General features: G+C 36.1%; 1 protein-coding gene and 1 long non-coding RNA gene across 2 annotated transcripts in view; one reads left to right on the top strand and one right to left on the bottom strand.

Annotated features, from left to right (window-relative positions):
* Positions 1-25553, bottom strand: part of LOC101928362 (uncharacterized) — a 169017-nt gene that overhangs the window by 39592 nt on the left and 103872 nt on the right. The window contains exons 3-4 of the long non-coding RNA XR_001749028.1: positions 3800-3853; positions 370-445 (exon numbers count right to left, since the gene is read on the bottom strand). This is a non-coding gene — a long non-coding RNA (uncharacterized LOC101928362). The remainder of the gene's footprint in view (positions 1-369; positions 446-3799; positions 3854-25553) is intronic.
* SLC15A5 (solute carrier family 15 member 5) overlaps positions 1-25553 on the top strand; it is an 89201-nt gene that overhangs the window by 40752 nt on the left and 22896 nt on the right. The window contains exons 6-7 of the mRNA NM_001170798.1: positions 12332-12520; positions 19910-20041. Of these exons, the coding sequence (NP_001164269.1) occupies positions 12332-12520; positions 19910-20041 (321 nt within the window). The remainder of the gene's footprint in view (positions 1-12331; positions 12521-19909; positions 20042-25553) is intronic.

Raw genomic sequence — 25553 nt, 5'->3', positions numbered from 1 at the left:
ATAACTTTATCATTATTACTATTACTATTCTGCTTAGCGGCTAAACGTAGCTGTTAGATTATAGAAGTTAATGTATTGATGTTAGCTTGGCATCCTTATTGATATTTCCAGTTAGTGCCATGAAATACCTGAAAAACTCCTTTTGTCATCACAATGGGCAGTTACTCCTTATACTGTCACATGCCCTTCCACATCCAGGTATTCGTATTCTCCTTCCAGGGACTGTCATGTTTAAGGAGGCAGATGGTAAAGTCAATGACAATGCCTAATGTTTTACATGCAAAATCACAGCCCAGACCAAGAGTGAGAGATGGGGAAATCTTACCCAGCTGGTCAAACTAGAAATTTATAAAGAAAAAATCAACTTACTTTTTTATCTAGCTCATAAACAATGCAATAACAAAGGTGTTTCTGATTCAAGATGCAACATTCCTGAGTTCATCACCTATGGAGGTCAAGAAATATGTCAGGGTCTCCAACTATTAAAAAGAAAAACCTCTAAGTCTTCCAAGACTGTGAAAGGCAAAGACTTCATAGGCTCAGAGTGTTTTATCAAGGGCTGCATTTTCTTAATATTACACTTGTGTGGATTTATCTGGTTAAGTCAACCTTAATTCACTACAAATCCAGAACTAATGATATTATTGTAATTTATCTTCTATCATAATTGGGTTTACTTCATTTTATATTTTTTTTAGTTCACAAATGTTTACACTATGAGTATTTCCTTTCCTTAGCATTAATTAAAATCCTGCAGTATGGAGCATTCAGTAGTTAGTGCTGACACACACAAGTATTAATCTGACCAAAATCAGCCTAATTAAGATTGTTATTAAGGCTTACACAAAGCAGAAGTGTACAACACAGTAGGTAGCAATTATCTTGGCTTTTAAATAACATTTAAATTTAAATGTAGATGAAATATATTCACATAACTGCAATACCTTTTTTCTTTAAAATAAAAACATGAAAATTCAAGTTCCAGCTAAAAGTCTTTTATGATATAGTCACAGTCAGTGTAGGTCCCTGTATACATAACCAGTAACCTCAACTAGTTCTAATAACTTGCAGTTGTATAAAGTTCTTTTTGTGGTTGAAACCAAAGTGGTTGCTAAGCTAAAAGCCAAGTCAAGGATCCAGTTATTTTCATTGCAAGTACAATTATCTCAGGGAAAATTCTTTTTTGATACAGCTTTCAAACTGATATATTTTCCCAAGAAACATCATGGTATGTACCCATTGTAAAATACTTGATAGGAGGAACTGCGTAAACACCAAAAGAAGTAAACCATGAATTGTAAACATCTAGCCTGAATAAGTCATTCATTCGGTTGCACATTTGTTTGATATAAGCACATTAGTATTCTCAATTCTTAAATGTAACATCAAGTTGGAATTAAATCAGAGGTGAGGTAGATCATCTAATATGCAATCTGAAGCAAATAACTGATGCCTTATAGAGATACATTTGCATATTTTATCTCTATGTAAATGACTACCTGTTCTACATTCAGAAATAAAACATAAACTGAAGCTGGGTCTTCTGAAATGAATTCCAATGGTCTACAGAGAAACAAAAGATAGAAGGTCATATATATGTACATATACATATACATATATACATATATATACATATACATATACATATATACATATATATACATATACATATATATACACATATATACTTATAACATGTCGTGTTTTGTATATATTATGTATAAAAACATGCCACAAATAGGGGAAAACAATAAAAATAAAAAACATATGCCACCCTAAAAAGTGAGTGACAAATATCTTCCCCAAAGGCAGCAGATACATAAGACAATAAAATTATAGCTGTCTTTATGAGAGTAGTTCATGAACACTGAATGATATATTAACACTGAGCAAATTTCCTATCCTGGGAATTTGCCAAAATCATGGATCCAAAGGGAATTTCTCAAGGACTCCATAGAATTTCATACTTAAGGCTGTGAGCTTACATATCAGAAACTCAAACATCACACTACACATAGAAACCCATAGTTTTCTCAGCAAATAAATTTATACCTAAAGAATCTTATACCAATACCTAAAGAATCTTAACATGCCCACTTTTTTAGTATAAGTTCAGCTTCATTATGAAATCACAAGTGCAACCCTAATGTTTCAATAAATTCGGAATGTCTTTTATTTCATTGTAGACTAATTTGGAAAATTATTACATGGTTCAATAATAGCATAAATTATAAGAACTTCAAGACTCTTGTGGACTTGTCTGCAACCACACAGGCAGTATTAAAACACACATTATTTATCTGAATATAATATCTCCTATGCAACCATTGTGCTTTATCTTGTAAGTACAGATCTGCTAGAGGTTTAAAATGTGTACATTCTGATAAACTGCACTCTGCTTTGGGTGTGTTATTATCTCATACAAGTTAAGAATTAAAAATGGAGTGGATTAAATTTAGGTCGGAATCAAAGTTTGCTTTAAATTTTAAGAAAGTTAGTTTTCATTGGCACCAGAGTGCAGTAGCAAATAAGAAGCAAACATAGATCCTTAAATACTCTAAAATATGCTTTGCCCTAAAATACCTAGGTAAGAGTGCTATGGTTTGTATGTTTTTGTTCCCTCCAAAATTCATGTTGAAATTTATCCCCAGTACAACAGTATTGGGAGGTGTTGGTTTTGGGAGGAGAGTGAGTCATCAGTGTTCCACTGTCATAAATGGGATTAGGTGCTCTTATAAAAGGTCTTGATAGAATTCATTTCATTTGCTCTTCTACCTTCTGCCATGTGGAACGTGCCATCTTGGAAGCAGAAAGCAGCCCTCCCCAGACAACCAACCCTACCAGCACCTTGTCCTTGAATTTTCCAGCTTTTAGAACTGTGAGAAAAGAAATTTCTATTCTTTATAAATTACTCAGTCTCACACTTTTTTTGAATAACAGCACAAGCAAACTAAGACAATAAACTAAATATGTGTGCTTTGCTTGAAATTTTCTGGAGAACAGTCTTTCATTGGATTTTGCTAGATCAGGCCTGACAGTGTTATATGCTTGAGCAGTGCTTCTCATAGTTTAATTTGTATAAGAATCATCTAGAGACCTAGTTTAAATGCAGATTCTGAGTCAGTAGTTCCGGAGCAGAGCCTGAGATTCTGCATGTCTAACAAGCCCCCAGGTGATACCTACACTACTGGTCAGGGAGGACACTTTCAGTATCAAAGACAAAGAAAGTGGCCCAAAAGACGGCTCTCTCAAGTTTCATGCATGTGTATAGGCAGCAGTGGCCCAGGTAAAATGCCACAATTTCTCTCTAGGCCAGAACGAAAGTTCAGTAACAGGTAATAAAAGCGGATGACTAAACCAGGGGTTAGCCAATCACTACAGCTCATGGGCCAAATCTGGCCCACCGTCTGTTTTTGTATGACCTGCATGGTAAGAATGGTTTACACAGATGAACATTTGCAACTGATTTGATAATAGAAAACACCTTTAAACTCTAATTAATTGAAATTGCATCACCCTTCCAAAAGAAATAATTTTAAATTTTATCAATTTTAAAAATCATAGAAATTTATTTCTCTCTTGTTACGTAAGTACCTACTTATCCTCAATTTTGTTGTTTTTCTCACAAAGTCTGAAGTACTTATTACTGGCCTTTTACAGAGAAAAAAAATAGTGATGCTTGTCTAAACTTTTGCTGGTAATGCCATAAACTTTCCTTCATAAAATATAAGCATTTTTACATAGCACAAGTAACAATCAAAAAAATAAAAGTGCATGATAGTTGTAAAATCTAAATTACCTCAAATTAGTCAGGATAAGGGGTATCTTAGAAGGTACTCACAGAATTCAAATTCTGAAAGAAAACCAAAGAAAGCAACTTAAATTACTGTTGAGAGGTCTAGTGCTTTTCTTCCTTTCTTTCTTTCTCCTTCCTTCCCTCCCTCCCTCCCTCTCTTTCTTCTTTCTTTCTTTCCTTCTTTCTTTCTTCCTCTCTCTCTCTCTTTCTTTTTTTCTTTTTTAGACAGAGTCTAGCTCTGTAGCTCAGGCTAAAGTGCAGTGGCATGATCTTGGCTCACTGCAACCTCCACCTCCTTGGTTCAAGCAATTCTTGTGCCTCAGCCTCCCGAGTAGCTGGGATTACAGTTATGTGCCACCACACCCAGTTAATTTTGGTATTTTTAGTAGAGATGGGGTTATGTCATGTTGCCCAGGCTGGTCTTGAACTCCTGGCCTCAAGTGATCCTCCCACCTCGGCCTCCCAAAGTGCTGGGATTACAGCTACAAGCTGCTGCACCTGGCCAGAAGTCCATTGCTTTTCTGATGCTTATCCTTGTGTTACAATCTTTTTTTCCTAAACGGAAAGCTCTTCTCTCTTTCCATGGTGTTCTAAAATTTCATCTTATTGTACTTTGGTAAAGGTCTTTTTCAACCATTGTACTTTTGACCCAGGTGGGCTCTTTCAATTAGAAAAATTTTATTTTTAAAAAAAGTTTCCTTTCTTCCATTTTCTTTGTATTTCCTTTTGAACTCCTATTGATCAGATGTTGGACCTTCCTAAAATAACTCAGTAAGTCTCAATATTTTCTCTTCAAATCTATAAATGTGTTTGTTTGATTTTTATTGTTATTGCCTTTTTTGGTTTGTTGTTTCTCTATTTGTTTTGGAAATTTCTTTGACTTCATCCTGCAAATTTTCTGCTGAGTTTTGTATTTCAGAAGTCATATTTGGTTTCTAAGATTTCTTATTATTCTTTTTTCATAGCTACTTATTATTGATTGCATTAACTACAGATTACCCCCACTTCCTGTTTGCTTGTCTCCTTGTTTTTCACATGGGAAGCTTTTCTCCAATGTCTGGTGATCTTGGGATATCTATTCTTATAGATTGTAAAATAATAGTATTACTCAGGATGATATGACTTTGTACATAAGTGAGACTTATGGGGTTTCTCTGTAGAATGCCATTTGGCAAGGGAACCAGTCATATTATTATGAGAATCTCCCCCCAGCTATTATATGCAGCAATCTTTTAATGGAGTTATTCAGCTTATTGAGAGAAGATTTCTTCAGCCTCCTGCTTTGAGGCATACTTCCTAGTGCTGAAGGTGAGGTGTGGCTGTGTGCAGATAGGAATGGAGGATGTCTCATCATTCAAAATCTTAGTTTTTACCCATTTTCCATTTTCAGCCTCAGCCTTCTCTGAATCCAAAGTCACACCTATTTAAATTCTGAAAAGTAATCTCCAGTCTCTTACCAGAGGAGGAGATGGAACACATACTCACCTTGTTTCATGGGGATAGAATTGGAGACTTGACAATTTCACTGTTCAGTGCACAGACTTTCAACCAGTCCTTGCAGTTTTCCTTCTGAGTGTTACCCCACCTTCTGAAATACCTGGTGCCTTCAAGTCATGAGCTTCTAAATGATTCCTCAGGGGATTAGGAGGATTAGGGTCATGCTTCTTCAGTCTCTCACTCAGCTGTCAGTTTAGATTGTAGCTCCCTCATTTATTTTTCTAAATCAGTTATCACTTCTCTTTCCAATTTCTACATTTTTTTCAATTTTTGTCCACCATTGTTTTCTCTTTCTCTGACTTTTTACCTTTTCCAAATTTCTTTGCCATCATTTAACTAGAATGAGAAAGAAAATTAAAATTGTGTGGTCAATCAGCCACCTTAACTGGAAGTCCCTAAACTGCTCTAGATATTGGAATGTAGATAAAAATCTTCTTTTAGTGGAATAGGATCTTAAAAGTATTCTAAATCTGCATAGTTTTTTCCAACTTTCTTTTCCAACTTGCAAAGAATTTGCACCATTATGCACTATCTAATACCAAATTTTGTACAAAAGATACTTGAGAATTTTTAAGGTAAAGTGACTGGCCCACAGTTACGTAACTAATAAGAATCATACTGGTGGAGACTATTTAATTAGAAAAATACTTGGCCATTATCTAGGTCCTAAACCTTGAAGAACATAATTATGTAAAGTTTTTTTGTCTTTTTTTTTTTTGAGACGGAGTCTTGCTCTGCAGCCTAGGCTGGAGTGCAGTGGCATGATCTCAGCTCACTACAAGCTCTGCCTTCTGGGTTCACGCCATTCTCTTGCCTCAGCCTCCCGAGTAGCTGGGACTACAGGTGCCCACCACCACGCCCGGCTATTTTTTTTTTTTTTTTTGTATTTTTAGTAGAGATGGGGTTTCACCGTGTTAGCCAGGATGGTCTCGATCTCCTGACCTCGTGATCCACCCGCCTCGGCCTCCCAAAATGCTGGGATTACAGGCGTGAGCCACCGCGCCCGGCCTTGTCTTTTTTAAGAATTAAAAAATAAAAAATACTCAAGTGCCTTATTCTCTGGGTGTAAATAATTAAAAATTCATCTAAATTTTGTAAACAAATTGAATAATTTAACATCATTCTAATTGTTTACTGTAATGTCAAAAGCAAAGCCTATGGGACAAGTATTAAATTGTGCTTCTATTGTCTGGGATGGTTCAGCTCTTGCACTATTAGGACAAAAAAAAGAGCTCAGTAAAATAAGCTGCAAACCTCAGCAACCAGCTCTAATTTTACTGTAGACTCTATCTTTTGTTTAAACTCATCAACAGTGGGTTGTTGAAACTTACCTCTCTATCCTCTCAATTTCATTCCCATCTACTCATTCTCACCAAGTGACTAGCCTCTCTAAGTTGCAAGAATAAGATTATATGATAAATATGTCCTCAAATTCACTTTTCTATTTGTCAATATTCTCCGTATTCTAAACATTCTATACATTTCTTTTCCTTTAGAGGATAACTTTTTTCTTTCCTTGCTGGGATTAAACTTGGGCCCCTAAGCCTTTTCTCTCTCTCATCTACTTCAGGATGCTTCTATATTATTTATTTTTTCCTCATGTATCTTTAATTTTTCCCATCTCCATTGACTCCTCTTCCATCTATACAAACATGACTAAGCCTTTCACATCTTATAAAAGAGCTTCCTGTGATCCTGCTAACTTCTTAAGCAATTTGTAAAGCTTTCTCCTTTTCTGCACACCAAACTTCTTAGAAGATTAGATGACACTACTTACACATACCACCCACTCATTGTTCAACCCCTTGCTTTCTGATTTCATCATGGGAGTCCTGCTGAGTGTAAAAAGTAACTTATATTCCATTCTTCAATACAGTAGACTTGTCACATGTTTCATTATCCTCTATCTCTTAAAATATTAAAAATATTAAACGTGGTCATTTATTTATTTAAGATTGTGTGTGTGTGTGTGTGTGTGTGTGTGTGTGTGTGTATGTGTGTGTGTTGCTTACTTTGAACCTGGGCCCTTTTCTTGGTAGTAAAGAGTAATAAACAAAACAAACTTAGATCCAATTCTTGTGAATCTTCCAATGAAGTAATTGAAACACATGGTAAAAATGAACACACTAAAAATATTTAATTTCAAATTGTAGTAAGTATAGTGAAAAAAATGGATGTTATGGGATCTAATTTAGATTATAAAGTGCATATCTAAAAGACAAAGAGGCATTAGACAGGATGGTTTCAGACAGAGTGAAGAGCAAATAAAAGTCCCTAAGATGGAAAAGAAAGAGTTTAAGATATTCAAGAAAGATGAAGATTACTGTGGCTGAAACCTGGTCAGACAGTAGAAAGTAGCAAGGCAATTAGACTGAAGTAACAAGCATAGGCAAGATCACACAGGCCATGTTAAAAGTTACGGATTTCTTCTTAACTGTGTGGACACCCATAGAAGGAATTAAGCTGAAGAGTAATATTCAATTTACATTTACATAAGCTCAATCTGGCTGCTGGGTGCTTAATAGGTTAGAGGTGGACAAGAGTGGAAACAAGAAGACCAGTTAATATGCTACTGCACATCATCTGAGTTAAAAATGAGAATGGCTTGGCTTGGAATGATGGCAGTGGCTATGGATAGAAGCAAATTGATTTATAATACGCAGTTGACCCTTGAACAACGCAGGGGTTGGGAGCATCAAGCCCCACACAGTCAAAAATCTACGTGTAACTTTTCACCCCCTGCAAACTTAACTACTAATAGCCTACTGTTGATGGAAAGCAATATTAATAACATAAACAATCAATATACATTTTATGTTATATGTATTACATAGTGTATTCTTACAATAAAGTCAGCTACAGAGAAGGAAATGTTATTAAGAAAATCATATAGAAGAGAAAATATATTTACTCTGTATTAAGTGGAAGTGGATCATCACAGAGGTCTTTAACTTCACTGTCTTCACACTGAGTAGGCTGAGGAGGAGCAGGAGGAGAGGTTGGCCTTGCTGTCTCAGAGGTGGTAGAAGTAGAGGAAAACCCGCATGTAAGTGTACCTGAGCAGTTCAAACCCATGTTGTTCAAGGGTCAAGTGTATTTTGGAAACAAAATCTACAGGACTTAATGATGTATTTGGAGGTAGGGGGAAGAGAGGGGACCACAGATGTGGAAGAGATCAGAAGAGTGAAGGAGAAGAATTAGAGAGAAAGATCAAAAGTTCTACTTTGTATATCCTCCTCCTTGAAACCTTTTCTTACACATGACCTATCTTTCTGACCTTGCTTTCAGCACTTTTACTTCATTGTCTTGCCCCAAATGCAAACATGCTTGAAGGCACTGCTTAGATATTCTCTGCTGTCCCTCCCCAATCCTCTTTCAGTTTCATCTGGCCCTAAACTCTGACTCTAAGCAGATGACTCATTATTTTTTCTCTCTTGATTCACCCAATTTCCTGAGCTATAACACATTTTCAATTGTCTTCTGATCGTTTCTCTTTAGATGACGGCTTTGTACCTCCAACTCAACTCAAAATTAAATTCATGTTATTCCCATATCTACTATGGTTCTTACTTATATTACCACTGCCATCTTTCCAGTCACCTGGATTCATATTCATAACTAACTTCTGCTTCCTCCTTGCTCTTTGCATCAGTTGCTATGGTTTTATCAGTGCCCTCTAATGCATTTTATGTTTCTACCTTCCTTATATTTTCCAGAAGTGGAAGCCCTGATTGTAACTTAAGCCCCCATTATACGTTACCAGATTATTTTTATCACTTCTATCTTCCTACCTCCAATATCTTTCCTATTCTACCAACCAGCACATGACCTTTAGAGTAATCATCCTAAATAACGATTGTAATCATTTCACTTGTGTCTAAAATCTTCAATGATTCTATTATCTTCATTCTCTTATCTTCAGAGTAATTTTCAAATTTCTTAAAAGTGTATTAAATGCTTCTTATGATCTGACCCCAATCTATCGTCTACCTTGATTCCCAAATAACTTGAACGTCTCATCATCCTGAAAATCTGTCTGATGCTTTCACAACGCTGTCCCTTTGCTCATGCCACGTGTGCTGCTTTCACCTTTTCGTACTGAAACCCTTCTTTCTTAAAAGCATAAAATGATGTCTCTCACCTCTCCAACTAGCAATAAGTTCTTCTCCTGATACTCCCCAATAGAATATGAGTCTGCAATGGAACAGACTCTTTTCATCTTTTATCCCCCACGGTGCTGAGCATACTATCTTGCATATAGCAGGAACAGAGCAAATATTAAATTGAATTGACATATTAGCACTCTTTCTGATGAGTCTGTAATGTGTCCAATAATCTTGATAAAGGTGATTATATAATGAATTTGGTCTTAAAATCAGATAATATGTGAAATGTGTATTTTTTATGTGAGCCGTTTACGGAAGCAAAATCTCTACTTTACTATGAATAAGCCTTTATAGTCCTTAATTTAAAATAGTAATAAATTAAAAATTCCTCAAATTTTTAAACTGAGGTTTATTGAGGTTTCCTCCTTTTTTACACCTTTGATTTCTTGGGGACCCTGGAAAGAGCAGTCTTTATGAATATATTTAAATTCTGAGATATAATCAAAAAAATTACCTACCAGTTTCTCTATCAACCAAAACAAACACTAAGCTATTTAAACATTAGATTGATTTTTCTGAATTGAAAGCTTTGCCTTATCTAAAATTGTATGCAAGTTAGCAAAATGTGACTATCTGAAAATTTCAAATAAATTCCATCAAGCTAAAGTTTGCCTCCACTCTAACGAAAGGATTAAGTCCAGTAATATGAATGCTAAATGGAGAAATGGAATAGTTAGAGTAGATACAGACTCGGTAACAAAATCCTACTCAATTTCAACAAAAAACTTCTAGATAATTCCTCAAAAGTAAAAGGAAGAGAAGAGTTTGACCACTATAATTGTTGGCATTTACACTCTTCACTTAGCTAATTTATCTCTTTAAGAAATTTTTTTCTAAACGAAAGTTTTAGTCCTTCTCTAATAGCTGTTTTACCTTCTCTGTGAAAATCAGAGAAATGCCAGACAACTGAGGACCAATAATACTTTAAGTTTATTTCAAAAACATGTTTAAAATAATAATTAAAGCTATATATAAAGATAATTTTATATTTGAACTTCCTCCAAATAATTTTTGACTCATATATCTTTTTTATGAAAGTTATCTAGGATGATATCTCTTTTCTGGGAAAAAAAGTTTTAAAACATTGCTTTATCTTCAATAATAATTGCTACTAATTCAAGGGATCCACATCTGCAGATTCAACCAACCTTGAATAAAAAGTAGTTGGTTGCATCTGTATTGAACATGTACAGACTTTTTTTCTTGTCATTATTCCCTAAACAATATAGTATAACAACTGTTTACATACTATTTGCATTGTATTAGGGATTATAAGTAACCTAGAAATGATTTAAAGAATAGAGGAAGAGGAGCATAGGTTATGTGCAAATAAATACAAAGCCGTTTTACATAATACACTTGAGCAGCAGGAATTTTGGTGTCTTTGGGGTCTTGGAACCAATCCCCAGCAGATATCAGTTGTCTTATTTAAATGTCACAAGCACCCTATAAAGTAAGCGTTATTAACTCCACCTTGGAGCTGAGGAAAGTGATAATGAGGTTACATTACTGGCCTGAGGTTCTATATGTAGGAAGTCAGGGAAGAGGAAGTCAACTCAGCCCTTTGTGAGGCCACAGCCTAAGCACTGGATGGCCAAACAGCACAGATCACTGGCGTCTGGATATCCCGAGGGCAAACAAATGTTGAGGAAACATCTAATGTCCAGCACCTGTTGTTTCCTGACTTTTTAATGATCACCATTCTAACTGGTGTGAGATGATATCTCATTGTGGTTTTGATTTGCATTTCTCTGATGGCCCGTGATGATGAGCATTTTTTCATGTGTCTGTTGGCTGCATAAATGTCTTCTTTTGAGAAGTGTCTGTTCATATCCTTCACTCACTTTTTGATGGGGTTGTTTTTTTCTTGTAAATTTGTTTGAATTCTTTGTAGATTCTGGATATTAGCCCTTTGTCAGATGAGTAGATTGCAAAAATTTTCTCCCATTCTGTAGGTTGCCTGTTCACTCTGATGATAGTTTCTTTTGCTGTGCAGAAGCTCTTGAGTTTAATTAGATCCCATTTGCCAATTTTGGCTTTTGTTGCCATTGCTTTTGGTGTTTTAGACATGAAGTCCTTGCCCATGCCTATGTCCTGAATGGTATTGCCTATAGGAACACTTTTCCACTGTTGGTGGGACTGTAAACTAGTTCAACCATTGTGGAAGACAGTGTGGCCATTCCTCAGGGATCTAGAACTAGAAATACCATTTGACCCAACCATCCCATTACTGGGTATATACCCAAAGGAATATAAATCATGCTGCTATAAATACACATGCACATGTATGTTTATTGCGGCACTACTCACAATAGCAAAGACTTGGAACCAAACCAAATGTCCAACAATGATAGACTGGATTAAGAAAATGTGGCACATATACACCATGGAATACTATGCAGCCATAAAAAATCATGGGTTCATGTCCTTTGTAGGAACGTGGATGAAGCTGGAAACCATCATTCTCAGCAAACTATCATAAGGACAAAAAACCAAACACCGCATGTTCTCACTCATAGGTGGGAATTGAACAATGAGAATACTTGGACACAGGAAGGGGAACATCACACACCAGGGCCTGTTGTGGGGTGGGGGGAGGGGGGAGGAATAGCATTAGGAGATATACCTATTGTAAATGACGAGTTAATGGGTGCAGAACACCAACATGGCACATGTATACATATGTAACAAACCTGCACATTGTACACATGTACCCTAGAACTTAAAGTATAATAAAAAAATTAAAAAAAAATAAAAACAAACAAACAAAAAAGAAACATCTAATGTCAATGGGTAAGAAATGTTATGGCTTATTACATGAATCTCTAGCTCTTCGTTTAACTTTTTTTTCTTTTGCATTATTTTCCTTCAGTTGCTGGAAATCTTTTTGCTGCATTGTCTGTGATGATAGCTGGCTTCTTTGAAATACACCGAAAACATTTCCCTGCAGTGGAGCAGCCCCTTTCAGGAAAAGTTCTCACTGTTTCCTCCATGCCCTGTTTCTACCTGATTCTTCAGTATGTTTTACTTGGAGTGGCGGAAACACTGGTAAACCCAGCCCGTGAGTAAACACCTTTTCAACTAATGTTAGAACATACTGAACCTTTACACAGAACACATCACCTCAACCAGAACAATTAAAGTGGTATGTCATCTATTCACCTCCTAGAGAGTTCCCACAATACTTCCAGCAAATTTATTTATTACTTTTTTACAAACATTTCATTTCTCCTCATTCCTCTGCCATGCACAGAACAATTATCAATTCTGCCTGGATGCAGATGGAACAAAAGATTTTTAATCTGGTTAAAGGCAATAACCATTTTGTCAGACACACCACAGGAGGAAAACCTCTGCTAAAACCCAGAAGACAACTCCAGAACACTAAGATGTAAAGCCTCTTCTCTTCTCCCTTCCCTCCTCTCACCTCCCCGACTCTCACTCATAGATAAACTCACAGGCCGGGTGCGGTGGCTCACGCCTGTAATCCCAGCACTTTGGGAGGCCAAGGCAGGTGGATCACGAGGTCAAGAGATCAAGACCATCCTGGCCAACATGGTGAAACCCTGTCTCTACTAAAAATACAAAAAATTAGCCAGGTGTGGTGGCAGGCGCCTGTAGTCCCAGCTACTCAAGGAGGCTGAGGCAGGAGAATCACTTGAACCCGGGAGGCGGAGGTTGCAGTGAGCCGAGATTGTGCCGCTGCACTCCAGCCTGGTGACAGAGTGAGACTCCATCTCAAAAAAAAAAAAAGCTCATTTATACTCCTCCAAAAATGACACTTAATGTTCTTTGAGAGTATATAAACATGCAAATGAAATGAAAATTTAAGCCAATTTTCCAGATAACTTGATGTCTTTGAATTAAATTACACTAGATTAAATGAGATCACTAATGTTTCATAAGACAGGTTCAAAATAAGTTTATTAAATATCAAGGGTTTCTGAATTATCTAGATTGCTTATATTAATTAAACTAGCCACTTTACAATTTATCACAATATTTCAGTGGCTTCTTGCAATACAGTAATGTGTGTGTACATCTATTTATCTCTGTAATTGATTACATCTTATGTTTCTATCCTCCTTAAATTTTCGTGTAGTAGGAGTCCTGATTGTAACTCAAGCTCCCATTATATTTTATGGATAATATTTTTATAACTTCTAACTATCTTCCGACCTCCATTATCTCTCCCATTCTATCAACTGGCACATGGATTTTAGAGTAATCATCCTAAATAACAATTCTAACCATTCCATCTGTGTCTACAATCTTCAATGATTCTATTATCTTAAAAGTTGTTTCCAAACTCCTTAAAATAAATATTTAATAAATATGTATTTATACACACACATACTTATGATACCAAGGCAATTCATTAAATAATGAAAATAAAATTAAGTTGGAGTATATGCATATATATGTGTGTCTCAGACTTCTTTTTTTATAATTGTATATCATTTCATCCCATATATTTTGCATACATAAATTACTTTATGAGATTTTAAACTGGGGACCTCACTGTTTAACACTGCAAGGAAGACAAAAGAAGTGTAAAGCAATGCTACTACACAAATATTTGTGATCTTCTCTGATGTTATTCCCAAAAATGTGTTGGAAGTAGTCAGCCAAAATTTTCTGGGCTGGTATAGAGTAAATAATGAGTAAAAGTAATGAGTGAATATGTGGAGGAAATTGCTAGCCAGCTTAGCAATAGTGGTTCAACATTCAGAAGCCAGAGAGGTACAGAAAACCAATGACTGTGAAAAAGGCAGATCATGTGCTACACATCACTTACTCCACCACTCCCTGATTTACTCCAGGAAATCAGGCCTAACTGAGGTCTAAGTCACTTGACTCATCTGCTATTGGGATAATGGACCAGGGACTGAAAGAATTTGGTCTGATATCTAGCTTTTCCATTACTACCTACATAAATTTGGGAACTCATTTAACCTCCAATCCTCACTTTTCTGATATTTAAAATAGAAATAATTGTATTCTTCTTTATATCACAGCATTGATAGGGTAAGCATCAATGGGAATGAGAGACTACTCCTTGAAAATCAAATGACATAACATATGAAAGGGTATTTCAAACTATAAAATCAAGTATTACCTTTCTGGGAGACAGTACAGCACAGAGGTTAGGCTCTATGGTCTTAAAGTCAGACAGATCTGAATTCAAACCCAGTTCTGTCACTGACTAACTCTGTGACGTTGGGAAAATTATTCCTCATTTCTGGGCTTTTCTCATCATCTATAAAACAGGGAGTTGTTCAAAGGACTAAGTGGAAGATTTTATGTAAAGCAAAAACCGCAGTGCCCCGTATATAGACAGCATTCAATAATTAGCAGTTATAATGTGTTGTTATCATTACTAAAAGTAATGGCAAAAACCACAATTACTTTTTCACCAACCTAATATTATTATCATGTTTCACATGAATTAATAGTGTCAGACTCAGAACAGAAGCACAGGTGTCCTGTTCCCAGCTCTTTCTGCCATAAACCACCTGAACAGCTGGGAGACCTGGAAGCATAAGCAGAACTGTCTCTCACTTGATTCATCCTAGATCCATCTCTTTCCTCTCACCTCTCCCCTCCAATCCAACAGCAAGTCCTCATTTTTACTCTGAAATATAACTTAAATCTGGCCACATCTCACTATCCCCTTTGTTCTCCTGGTGTACAACACCATCATCTCCAGCCCCAATTCGACCAGAGCCTCTGAACTTTTCTCCCTGCTTCCTCTCCTGCCCCATGAGTCCATTCTCTTCAAAACAGTTGTGGTGTTCTTCTCAAAACATAAGTTCTATCATTCCCCTGATTGAAATTCCACAGTAGAGTTTTAGAGATAAATTATTCACAATGGTGAATAATGTTCCACATGATTTGGTCTCCACGTGTTGTTCCACCTACATTTGGTTACAATCTGCCCCTTGACCACATCCCCAGAAATGTGTGTGTTTCTAAGATGCTAGATTTCTGTCTACCCCAAGTCCTTTGTACTTGCTTTATCCTTTATTCAGAATTCCCTTTCCTCTGTTTTCAAATGACTGGCTTCTCATTATTGAGCTTTCTCAAAGGTCTTCTCTTTGGAGGGGCTTCCTTGAGCATTCCATCACTTTCCACTTAATTACCCTGGTTTTTTAAATAGCACTTGTCAGAATCTGAAATTACTTTATTTATATTTGTATTGCCTGCCTCTCACTGTAAGAATATACATTCCTGACATCAAGGTATGTTTCTCCTTTCCGAAAAGTACATATACAAAATAGGTGATCAATAAATACATTTTGATTGAAGAAACAAATGAATGAAGTCTACGGCTATTTCTATATGGTACAATAAAAATGTATTATTCAAACTTTTGACAGTGTCCTACATTGATGGCATTGAGCAAGGAAACACAGTGAATCACTCCATAAATGACAGTAGACATAGCCTACCCTACTAAGACATGTTATACATTGGAGATGAGCTAGAAAAAAAAAAGCAGTAGGAAACTTTTCAAATTATGTTTTAATTGTAGCAGCGTACACCTCAGCTGTCTCATACCCTATGTTTGTTTATTCAAAAAATACTGTGTGGGTGTCTACAGTGTGCCTAATACTGCTCTCGAAGTTTTAGACACATCAGTTAAAAAAAATAAGACAAAAATTTCTGCCATTATAGCTTATAGCATCTCTGTGGTTGAGTAGTGGAGAGTAAGTTGGGAAGATAGAAGGCTCTAATCAGAGAAGGGTGCACAAAATTGTGATTATGGAGTGGGTACAGTTATTGATCCAACACATGGTTTTGCAGGCCAGTCTCTGTTACAATTACTCAACTATGTCATTGTGGTATGAATGCAGCCATAGACAACATATAATAAATGAGCGTGGCTGTGTTCCAATAAAACTTTATTAAAATAGGTGGCAAACTGAATATTACCTGACCATAGCTGGCCAACCACTGGTCTGAGGTACAAGGCATAGGCCATGACCTTGGGTGTGAGTGGAGTGGAAGCTGAGGTAGATTGGAGATCAGACATTGGAGGTCAAGGAACTGGACAACCAAGATTGAAAGGATGGAAGGTGGGAAGGATGATCTACATGTATAGTAAAATTGCCAAGTATTAAGGCAGAAGTAGTACCAGAGAGTGTGACAATGAGAGAGGAACTGACAACTCTGAGAAAAAGAGGAAAATGTCCTATAGATTGGCAGATGACAGCATGAAAGGGAAGTAGATGATATAGTCTGATAACATGAGCTTCAAAGCTGAAGCTTTTTTAGGGTTAAGGGAGATATAATGGTCTAAAAATGGCAACAGGATAAAGTTCCATTTTCTGGGACTGTGGTACTTCTTCTCCACATGTTCAAAATAACTTTTCACCAAACACAATACACACATTTTAACTGTTTAAGAACAACGAGAGTAAAAAATATTTCCAGCAATAAGTCCCCAGTACCAGGTGCCTTAGGAAGGTGGTTATGGCCCTATATTTTGAAGATTCCTCATATGCTGTGATGTGGCATCTTTACAAGCACTAACCAGCTACTACCTGGAGGCACATTTTTAGCGCTCATTGGCAAGAAGACCAGCTTTCACGTACACACTGAATATTTTTTATTGTGTCTTCATAGAAAAACGGGAACTTTACAATAGTGACAGACTTATTGATATTATCTACATTGTAATGGGCTAAAAGAAATATCTCGGAGCCTAAAAAAAATCAAATTGATGATCACTAAAGTTTCAAAAGATCAGAACATGCAAGTAGATGCCTAAAAATGAAGATTCGAGGACTTGAAAAGCTAAGTCCTATAAAAGGGAACTGGAGGTTTTCAAAAACGACTAAAATGACACCAAAGAGAGATTAACCAGCAGGCAGAGAGCTGGCAAAGTGTGTTCATGAATTATATACCGTACCAGAAGTTCTAGCAGGAGAAAAGCATAGGATTAATAATTAACTAGCAGAGTAATAATGGGCTTGTATGTTCTGCTTTTTCTTAGTGAAAGAAATAGGCCTACTTACTCTTTCTGCTCATTGCTTGTCTCCTTGTACTTATGGAAAGGAAAGTTTATAAGCCAAATCCTTTTTATAACTGTGAATCATTTATTCCCAAAGCCTATTCAGGCTTCCTCTCATATTCCCATTTGGACCTTTCTGAAAATACTCCAAGGTTCCTGCTGGTGATTGGTACTACACAAAGAGCTGTGCTACCGTGCCACCAATATTTGAAGCCCTTCTCCACAGTATTTTACCTATCACCATTATTATCTTCATCTCCAATCAGCGTTTGTGGGAAAAGTGCACATTTAGCACTGCCCTTTGTACTAAATAATGTGCTGTTTCTGCTCCAGAGTTTAAAGTCCAGGAAAGATAAACTGATGCCTTTTCCCACCTCTCAGTTCCAGCACTGAGCACTTTCCTGAAGTGCAAAATGGGATTCCTTTAAATCTTTATGGGATAAATAAATCAAGACATGTGCAGGACACACCGAAAGTAAAACAGAAATTTTAAATTAAGGAAGGAGCATTAATACATTTACATCATGTGTTAGTAAGATCATGGAAAAGTTCTGGTAAATGCAGAGTTTTGCTGCAGCAAAGTATTAAAAACAAACAAACAAGCAAACAAAAAACCAGGGGTAAATATTCCCGAGAGGAGCAGGAAGAGATAATAAGATCTCTTACTTCTCATAGAGAAGGAAACTAAATGTTTAGTGTTTACAGTACAGTCATGCAACACGTAACAACATTTTGATCAATGATGGATCACGTATATGACGGCAGTTTCATAAGATTATAGTATCATATTTTACTATACTATTTCTGTGTTTAGATATGTTCAGCTTCACAAATACTTAGCACTGTGCTCTAATTGCCAACAGTATTCAGTACAGTCACACGCTGTACAGATTCGTTGCCTAGGAGTGATGGGCTACCCATATAGCCTAGGTGTGTAGTAGGCTAGACCATATAGGTTTGTATACGTATACTCGATCATGTTTGCACAATGGCAAAATCACCTAATGACACATTTCTCTGGACATATCTCCCTCATTAAGCCACGCATGACTGCACATCTGTTTTCTATCATCACTTTTCTTTTTAAAATGAGCTGTAATATTTACTTATGATTTCATTGTGGAAAGATTCGCAAAGCACAAAAGAGTAAGAGGAATATTAGAAATCCAGTAATTCAACCACTCAAAGCTAAGACTGTTAATATTATTTAGTGTATTTCCTTACAATTTTTTTGGCACACATATATAATAGAGATTAGTATAATAAACTCCCCTGTATCCATCTTCTAGCATCAATAATTTTCAACTCATAGCCAAAACTTGTTTCATTTCTACTCTCATTCACATCTTTTTTCCTTCTGGTTGTATAATTTTGAAGCAATCCCAAATATCATATTATAATAAACATCAAATATTTTAACACATATCGCTAAGATTGTCATGCATTTTAAAATATTATGTTTATATGGCACGTACAAAATCTCATATACTTATTTTCATCTATTTCTGATTCCAAAAGAAAGTTATTTTTAATTGAAAATTTAAAAAAATTTTTTTCGTGGTTTTTTTAACCTCTTGTTACTATCATTACCGGCACCCAAAAAATGACTTGGGAAGGAAAGATAACCACTTTGGAGAACCAATGCTTAAGCTATTGTCTCTCTCTCTCTCAGCACCTCTCCTGAAATGAGATAATGCATATTAAGGGCTTTGTACAGTGCCTGCACAAGTAGGAACTACTCAATTTGATAAGATTAATACTGTCAAAAATACCTAACCCTTATTCAGGACCCAGGACCTACGAGTCAGCATTGTACTAAGCACTTTACATGTAGTATTGCAGGTAAGTGTCCCAGCACCTCTGCAAGTGAATAACGATATTATTCCCATTTCATAGAGGAGGACATTGAGGCTGGAAAGTTTAAGTCACCTACCTAAAATCACAGAAATAGTAGATGGCTGACATGGTATTTTAATACTATCTTGTCTAACTCCAGAGCCCATGCTCTTAACCTTGATGCAAATTTTATATAATACAAGTTTTCTATAAGGAACTTAATGAATTACACAGAATCACAAAATTGATAGATTGTCATGATATTATCTAATAGAGGCCACACCTCTATCCAAAATTTATCAGAAATATTCAATTTGGAGTGAAATTAGGGTGAATACATCAGGACACTCAACTACTAAGTAATCAAATTCTCATTGTAGCTGGGTCAAGGTATATTTTTGTCATATTTTATTCCTTGAAGACATCTGTAAATTGTAACACAGTATATCTTACTATAGTAACCTTAACAAAGTCCAACCCAAATTTTTATTGTATCAGTAAATTTTCTTTGATACATGATCAACATCAATTTGAACAGTCTCTATGAAAGCATTTTCAGGAGAAAGTTCTAAATTCTGACCTCTCTTTTTCTCTCAGTCTCTGTAATATCATACAGATTTGTTCCAAGCAATGTCAGAGGAACCTCCATGAATTTTCTGACACTGTTCAATGGATTTGGCTGTTTCACAGGGGCACTGCTGGTGAAGTTGGTATATCTCATCTCAGATGGTAAAAATAGGTTCGTGGCATGCTTATATACATTGAGTTGATGACTAGGGAATGGGGAGACCAAATCTTAAGAAAGGGGCTTTGTCAGTGCAGTCTTTTTTTAATTGATCCACTTTTGCAATTAAGATAGAATTAAGATAGGAAATACACTCTTGCTGTATTCATTAATTTCTGGGAATTGTTTTTCTTTTGATAGGAGGAGGTAATTACAGAATGTCATGCTGTCCTTAGTGTATTTTAAAACAAACTGGTCATTATATTCTTATTAGATCTTTCAGTGAGACCATATGCAATAATGCCTCACAGCTGGCATAGACAGTCCTCAGAAAAAGTAAGACCTGTGTAAATATAGGGGATAGGGTACCTGAATGATCTTTTTTTCTCATGATTTGCCACAATTCTTGTCTATGCAATCCAAGAGAAATTGTGAATTGAATAATAAATGATATTTTAAAATTTTCCCAGTAGAGATTTTGGTCAGGAGAAACAACTAATCTGAAAAATTCAAATATTGTTTGAAATATTAAAGTACCTACTAAAGCAAATATTAGACTAAAGCAAATTTTAAAGAACTATTCTTTGGTTGCACGTGTTGGTAAAAACAACAGCCAGACAGGATGACAATAATGATAAGTCATCACAGTGATATGACTTTGGCTGTATTTTAAATCTGGACTTTTGAAATTTTGTTCTAAAATGTCGATATATCTTTAATTTTAATGTACTTTTGCTTATTTTATGGAAATGATCACAAGTGTATTCTCTACTTTCAAAAATACTTATTGTTGTGCACTAAAAATGATGTAAAGAAAGTGTTAGTTTCTATTCTCTTGTAACAGACAAATTTAATTTACCTGCTTTCAAACTATGGAAAAAAATCAACTTCTATGAATGAGACACTCCTTTTAACACTAAACCTCCATTCGAAAAATATTTATCAAGGACCCATTCTATTCCAGGCACCATACTGGGCACTGGTGATACCATGGCAAGCAAAATAAACACTTGCAAGCCCTCAGGAAATTTCCAGGGGTACAAGGAAGCAATGAAATTAAAAGTGAAAAAGCCAATGATAGATAGAGCAGCAGAGTTCTTGGGAAGAAACCTACTAATCCTTGACTGACGACTGACAAGGTCAAACTCTGCCCTTTCCTTACTTATCTGAGAAAATTAAGCTGAAGTGTGTGTTGAATATTTACTGTGTACCAGGCCGTGTGCTACCTGGAATTGTGTGAGATATGATCCAGTTCTCAAAGAACTCAAATTCAAACTGTGTTAGCTAACTGTGTGAACGGCAGCAAGTTGCTGACTTCTCTAGTGCTCAGATTCTTCATACATAAGCTAGAGACAAAGCACTGGCATTAAGGTTTTGTAAGATAACCTTGAGAAGTCTTACCTATATTCACACCTGAAACATTTTCAGTGTTGAACATGTTTCCTTTCTTTACATTACTCAGTGAAGATATTTCCAAAAATTTACTAAAACAAAATTTCTAGAATCAAATCACATTTGACATATACATGAAGAACTGCAAAGTCAAATATTACTACCAGTTTATCTTTTATGTAAATCTAAATGTTTCATATGCAGGCTTAAGCAACCTACCCAGAGTTAGACCAAACAATCTTGGCTAAGTTCTCCCCAAGACTATCCTCACTTTGGTTTTTTTTTTTTTTTTTTTTTTTTTTTGAGAAAGAGTCTCACTCTGTCACCCAGGCTGGAGTGCAGTGGCACGATCTCGGCCCACTGCAACCTCCGCCTCCCAAGTTCAAGCAATTCTCCTGCCTCAGCCTCCCGCGTAGCTGGTACTACAGGTGCACACCACCACACCCAGCTAATTTTTGTATTTTTAGTAGAGATGAGATTTCATCATATTGGCCAGGATGGTCTCAATCTCTTGACCTCGTGATCCGCCCGCCTCGGCCTCCCAAAGTGCTGGGATTACAGGCGTGAGCCACCGCACCCAGCCAAGACTACCCTCACTGTAGATACTAGCCACAAGTTTGGAGATTCCTAGGGCTGTCATCACCTCTGACAAGCTGCCTATAAATGTGGGGATCCCCACAGACTCCCTCAGGTATGATAATTTGCTAGAAAAATTCACAGAACTTAGAAAAGTACAATATTTATAATTACTGTTTATTATGGCAGAAGAATACAAATCAGAAGAGGCACATGGAACAAGATCTGGGAGGGTTCCAAAAGTGGAGCTTCCTTCATCCCCAGGTATGCACTAACCACATCAATATAAGAATAATGCCAACCAGGTGAGCTCACCTGAGCTTCAGTGCCCAGTGTTTCTGTTGAGACTTTACCACATAGGCACCATTGATTGAATCATTGTGAGCTCAGTCTCCACCCTCCTTCTGCTCCCCAGAAGTTGGGCTGGTATATGTGGCTCAAAGCTCCAAGTCTGATCATGTGGTTGGTCTTCCTGGCTGCCCACTCTCCATTCCGGGTCATCTGATTAGCATAAATTATCTATGGGCCCTCTCCATTCTGAGTTGCCTCATTAGCATAAACTATCAGGTGGGGACTGAGGGTCCCACCCTAAATAACAGACATTCCAACCACTCAAGAAGTTGAAAAGATTTAGATTACCTCCCAGGAATCAGTCCAGGCAAATTTTTTAATCACACAACTATTCCTACAAAAGCATTTCACTGAAAATCTAAATTTTTATTGGGAATCTATATAGTATAGTAGGAGCTTTTACATGCATTATTGCATTTATTACAACAACCTTACATTATTATTCTAATTTTTTAAATGTAACGATTAGGGCAGAAAAAATAAAGTCAAGTTCTCTAGTCATCACAACTGGTAGCTGACAGAGATCTAATCCTCTCAGCATTCTGAAACCAGTTCCAACATTGATTTCAATATACAAGCAACTTGTAGAAATCCACAGATGTAAGGGTGTTTAAAGACATTTGTTACTTTTGCAATATAACCTCCTTGGATAGAGGTCTGTATAATATTGATAATATTCTAGATACAGTACAAAGGTAGAGAAACAAAAGTTTATATAATTCTGGCACAATTTGGTGCCCATGAAAGGAAATTTACCAAGGACACATGGTGAGGACATCTTAGCAAGATGGGTTGTGGGGTGGGGCACTTTCTAAACTGTGCTCAAGAGAACACCATTTAAATTACCACTCATCAATTTAAGCTACATCTTATTTTAAGTGTATTCTTTCTGGTTTATAATAATATTGTGTTATATCAAATTATAATCCCAATAAATCACAATCATAGAGTTGAATGTTGCCTTAGACCTCAACTAGTCTAACATAGTACCAAAAATAGAAGATGTAGTAGCATAATCTAGTGCCCAGAAAAATTCTCTACTTTGAGATATAACCTGAGTGTGCCCATCTATTGATCACTATGTTCTACAGAGTAAGTCCAGTTCTCCATTCACATAGCAGCTCTTCAAACATTTGATAAATACTTGGAGAAATAATATGGTATAGGGGTTAAGAGAATAGGTTCTGGAGTCAGACCACCTGAATTTGAATCTAGGTAGTCTAGCTATGTGTTCTCAGTTTCTATTTCAGTAATGATAATAAATAATATATTACGTTGTTCTGAAGATTAAGCAATTAATATGCATAGTAAGTGTTCAGTAAAGATGGCAGTCATGACCCCTTCTATTTTATAGACAAACTATCCCAGTCTTTTCATATTGCATGATTCCTTGATTTTTCTCTATCAAAGCGCCTCCATCCATTAAACAAACAGCAACTCGTCAGTATCTTTCTTAAAATATGGCTTCCAAAATCAAACATAATATGGGTACAAAATGGGTACAATCAGGACAAGTATGTTACTTTTATCAACCTGGACTCTCTCTCTCTCTGAATGCCAACAGAGATTTTGCTGACTTTCTCACAGTTGCATCCTGCTTATGGTCAATTAAAATTTGAAACTTTTTTTAATTTTCAGGAGTTGCTTTCAGCTCAGTTCTACTCCTCACAGTTCTTTTTTCTAATTAGATGCAGCACTTTATTTTTATCTTTAATAAATGTCAACCCATCATCCTAAGTAATAGACATTTTTGAAAATTGATTCTGTGTCATCCAGGGAATTACTAATCTTTACTTCTTTACTTGCTTTGTGTCATCTGCAAATTTGGTAAGCAAGTTCCTAGACTTCTTCCAGGTAATTGATAAAATTTTTGAATTGGACAGGACCAAAAAAGAGTCTTACAGAAAATTCCTAGACCTCATTGCAAGTTAATGACAACACATTAATCCTCTCCTTTTGGATATAATCAGTTCCCAATTCACCTAATTACTATCATTCAGCCCACATACTTCTCCATCATTCACTAAATGACATCACAGGAGACTTTTCACGTTTTTCTGGAAATAGGATAAGTCTCTTTGTGACAATCCCTTTAGCCATCAGAATAGTATTCCTCAATGAAAGAAATGAGGTTCATTTAGATTATTTGGTTATAGTAATCCTATACTGGTATAATAAATAAAGGCCCTAAAAGAGAGTGACCATAAGCATGGCTTTGGGTAGGTCAGTATCCCTCTAAAACTGGTTTTTCTTAATAAAAAAAGGAAATTGTACTTCACTTTTCTCAGACAGGATGAGAGAATAAAACTAAATAAGATATTTGAAAATTTTCTATGCCAGAGATTATTTTTAAATATAACATTGTCATACGTTATAATGGTTCATTTGGCCAAAAACAAGATCAGGCCACTCAAACAATCAGACAAATTTTTTTGACAGAAGTGACCATAATGAAACTAACACTATAATTATACATTTAGGCACCCTACATCCTTCAGCATTTCATTTAGTATATAGGATATTTTCAACCTTTAAGGATTCATGTCAGCTGAGCATGTGTGCATGTGAGTGTGTGAGAGTGTTAGTATACCCGATTGGAAAAGAAGATCAGCTATCACAGTCTTCCAGTCTCCAAGCTGCATTAGTCATTTTTAGCACCATAATGGAGAATGGTGTGAATGCGGTAAATTCAAAAGATTTCTCAAAACTTGACTGTGCAGACAGATAACTGTTAGAGTGACATTTTCAGTACAAGTGAGAAAACTGATCCTTCTGGGATCTCTAACTCTGAGTGCTTTAAAGGAGAAGATACAAGACTAAACTCATCCTCCTACACTAATCATTTCAGGAATAGTTTATCTAAAAGTAGCAATGCTAATATAAGGGAATGAAGAAGTCAGTCAGACTGCTTATTTCGACTCTATCCCATTAGCAACAAGATCAATTTCCTCACACTCATGAATTCGAACTTAAACCTTTTCATAAAAATAGCAAAACAGAATTCAGTAAAAAATGACATCTTAGTTATGGACATGCAGGCGATTGAAAGATCCGAAGCAAAATATTTAAGAAAAAAAAAGGGATAATTGGGCAGAATCAAGAGGTCAAGTGGTATATCTTCTTGTCCCTACAAGTTCCTTCTCCTCAAAATTCGGGAAAGGGGCAAAGAATGTAGCTGTTTAATTTCCATCAAGATTC

Source organism: Homo sapiens, chromosome 12, assembly GCF_000001405.40.
Source record: "Homo sapiens chromosome 12, GRCh38.p14 Primary Assembly".
NCBI lineage: Eukaryota > Metazoa > Chordata > Mammalia > Primates > Hominidae > Homo > Homo sapiens.
Note: the sequence above shows the minus strand (reverse complement) of the source record. Positions and strands in the feature narration are given on the sequence as shown.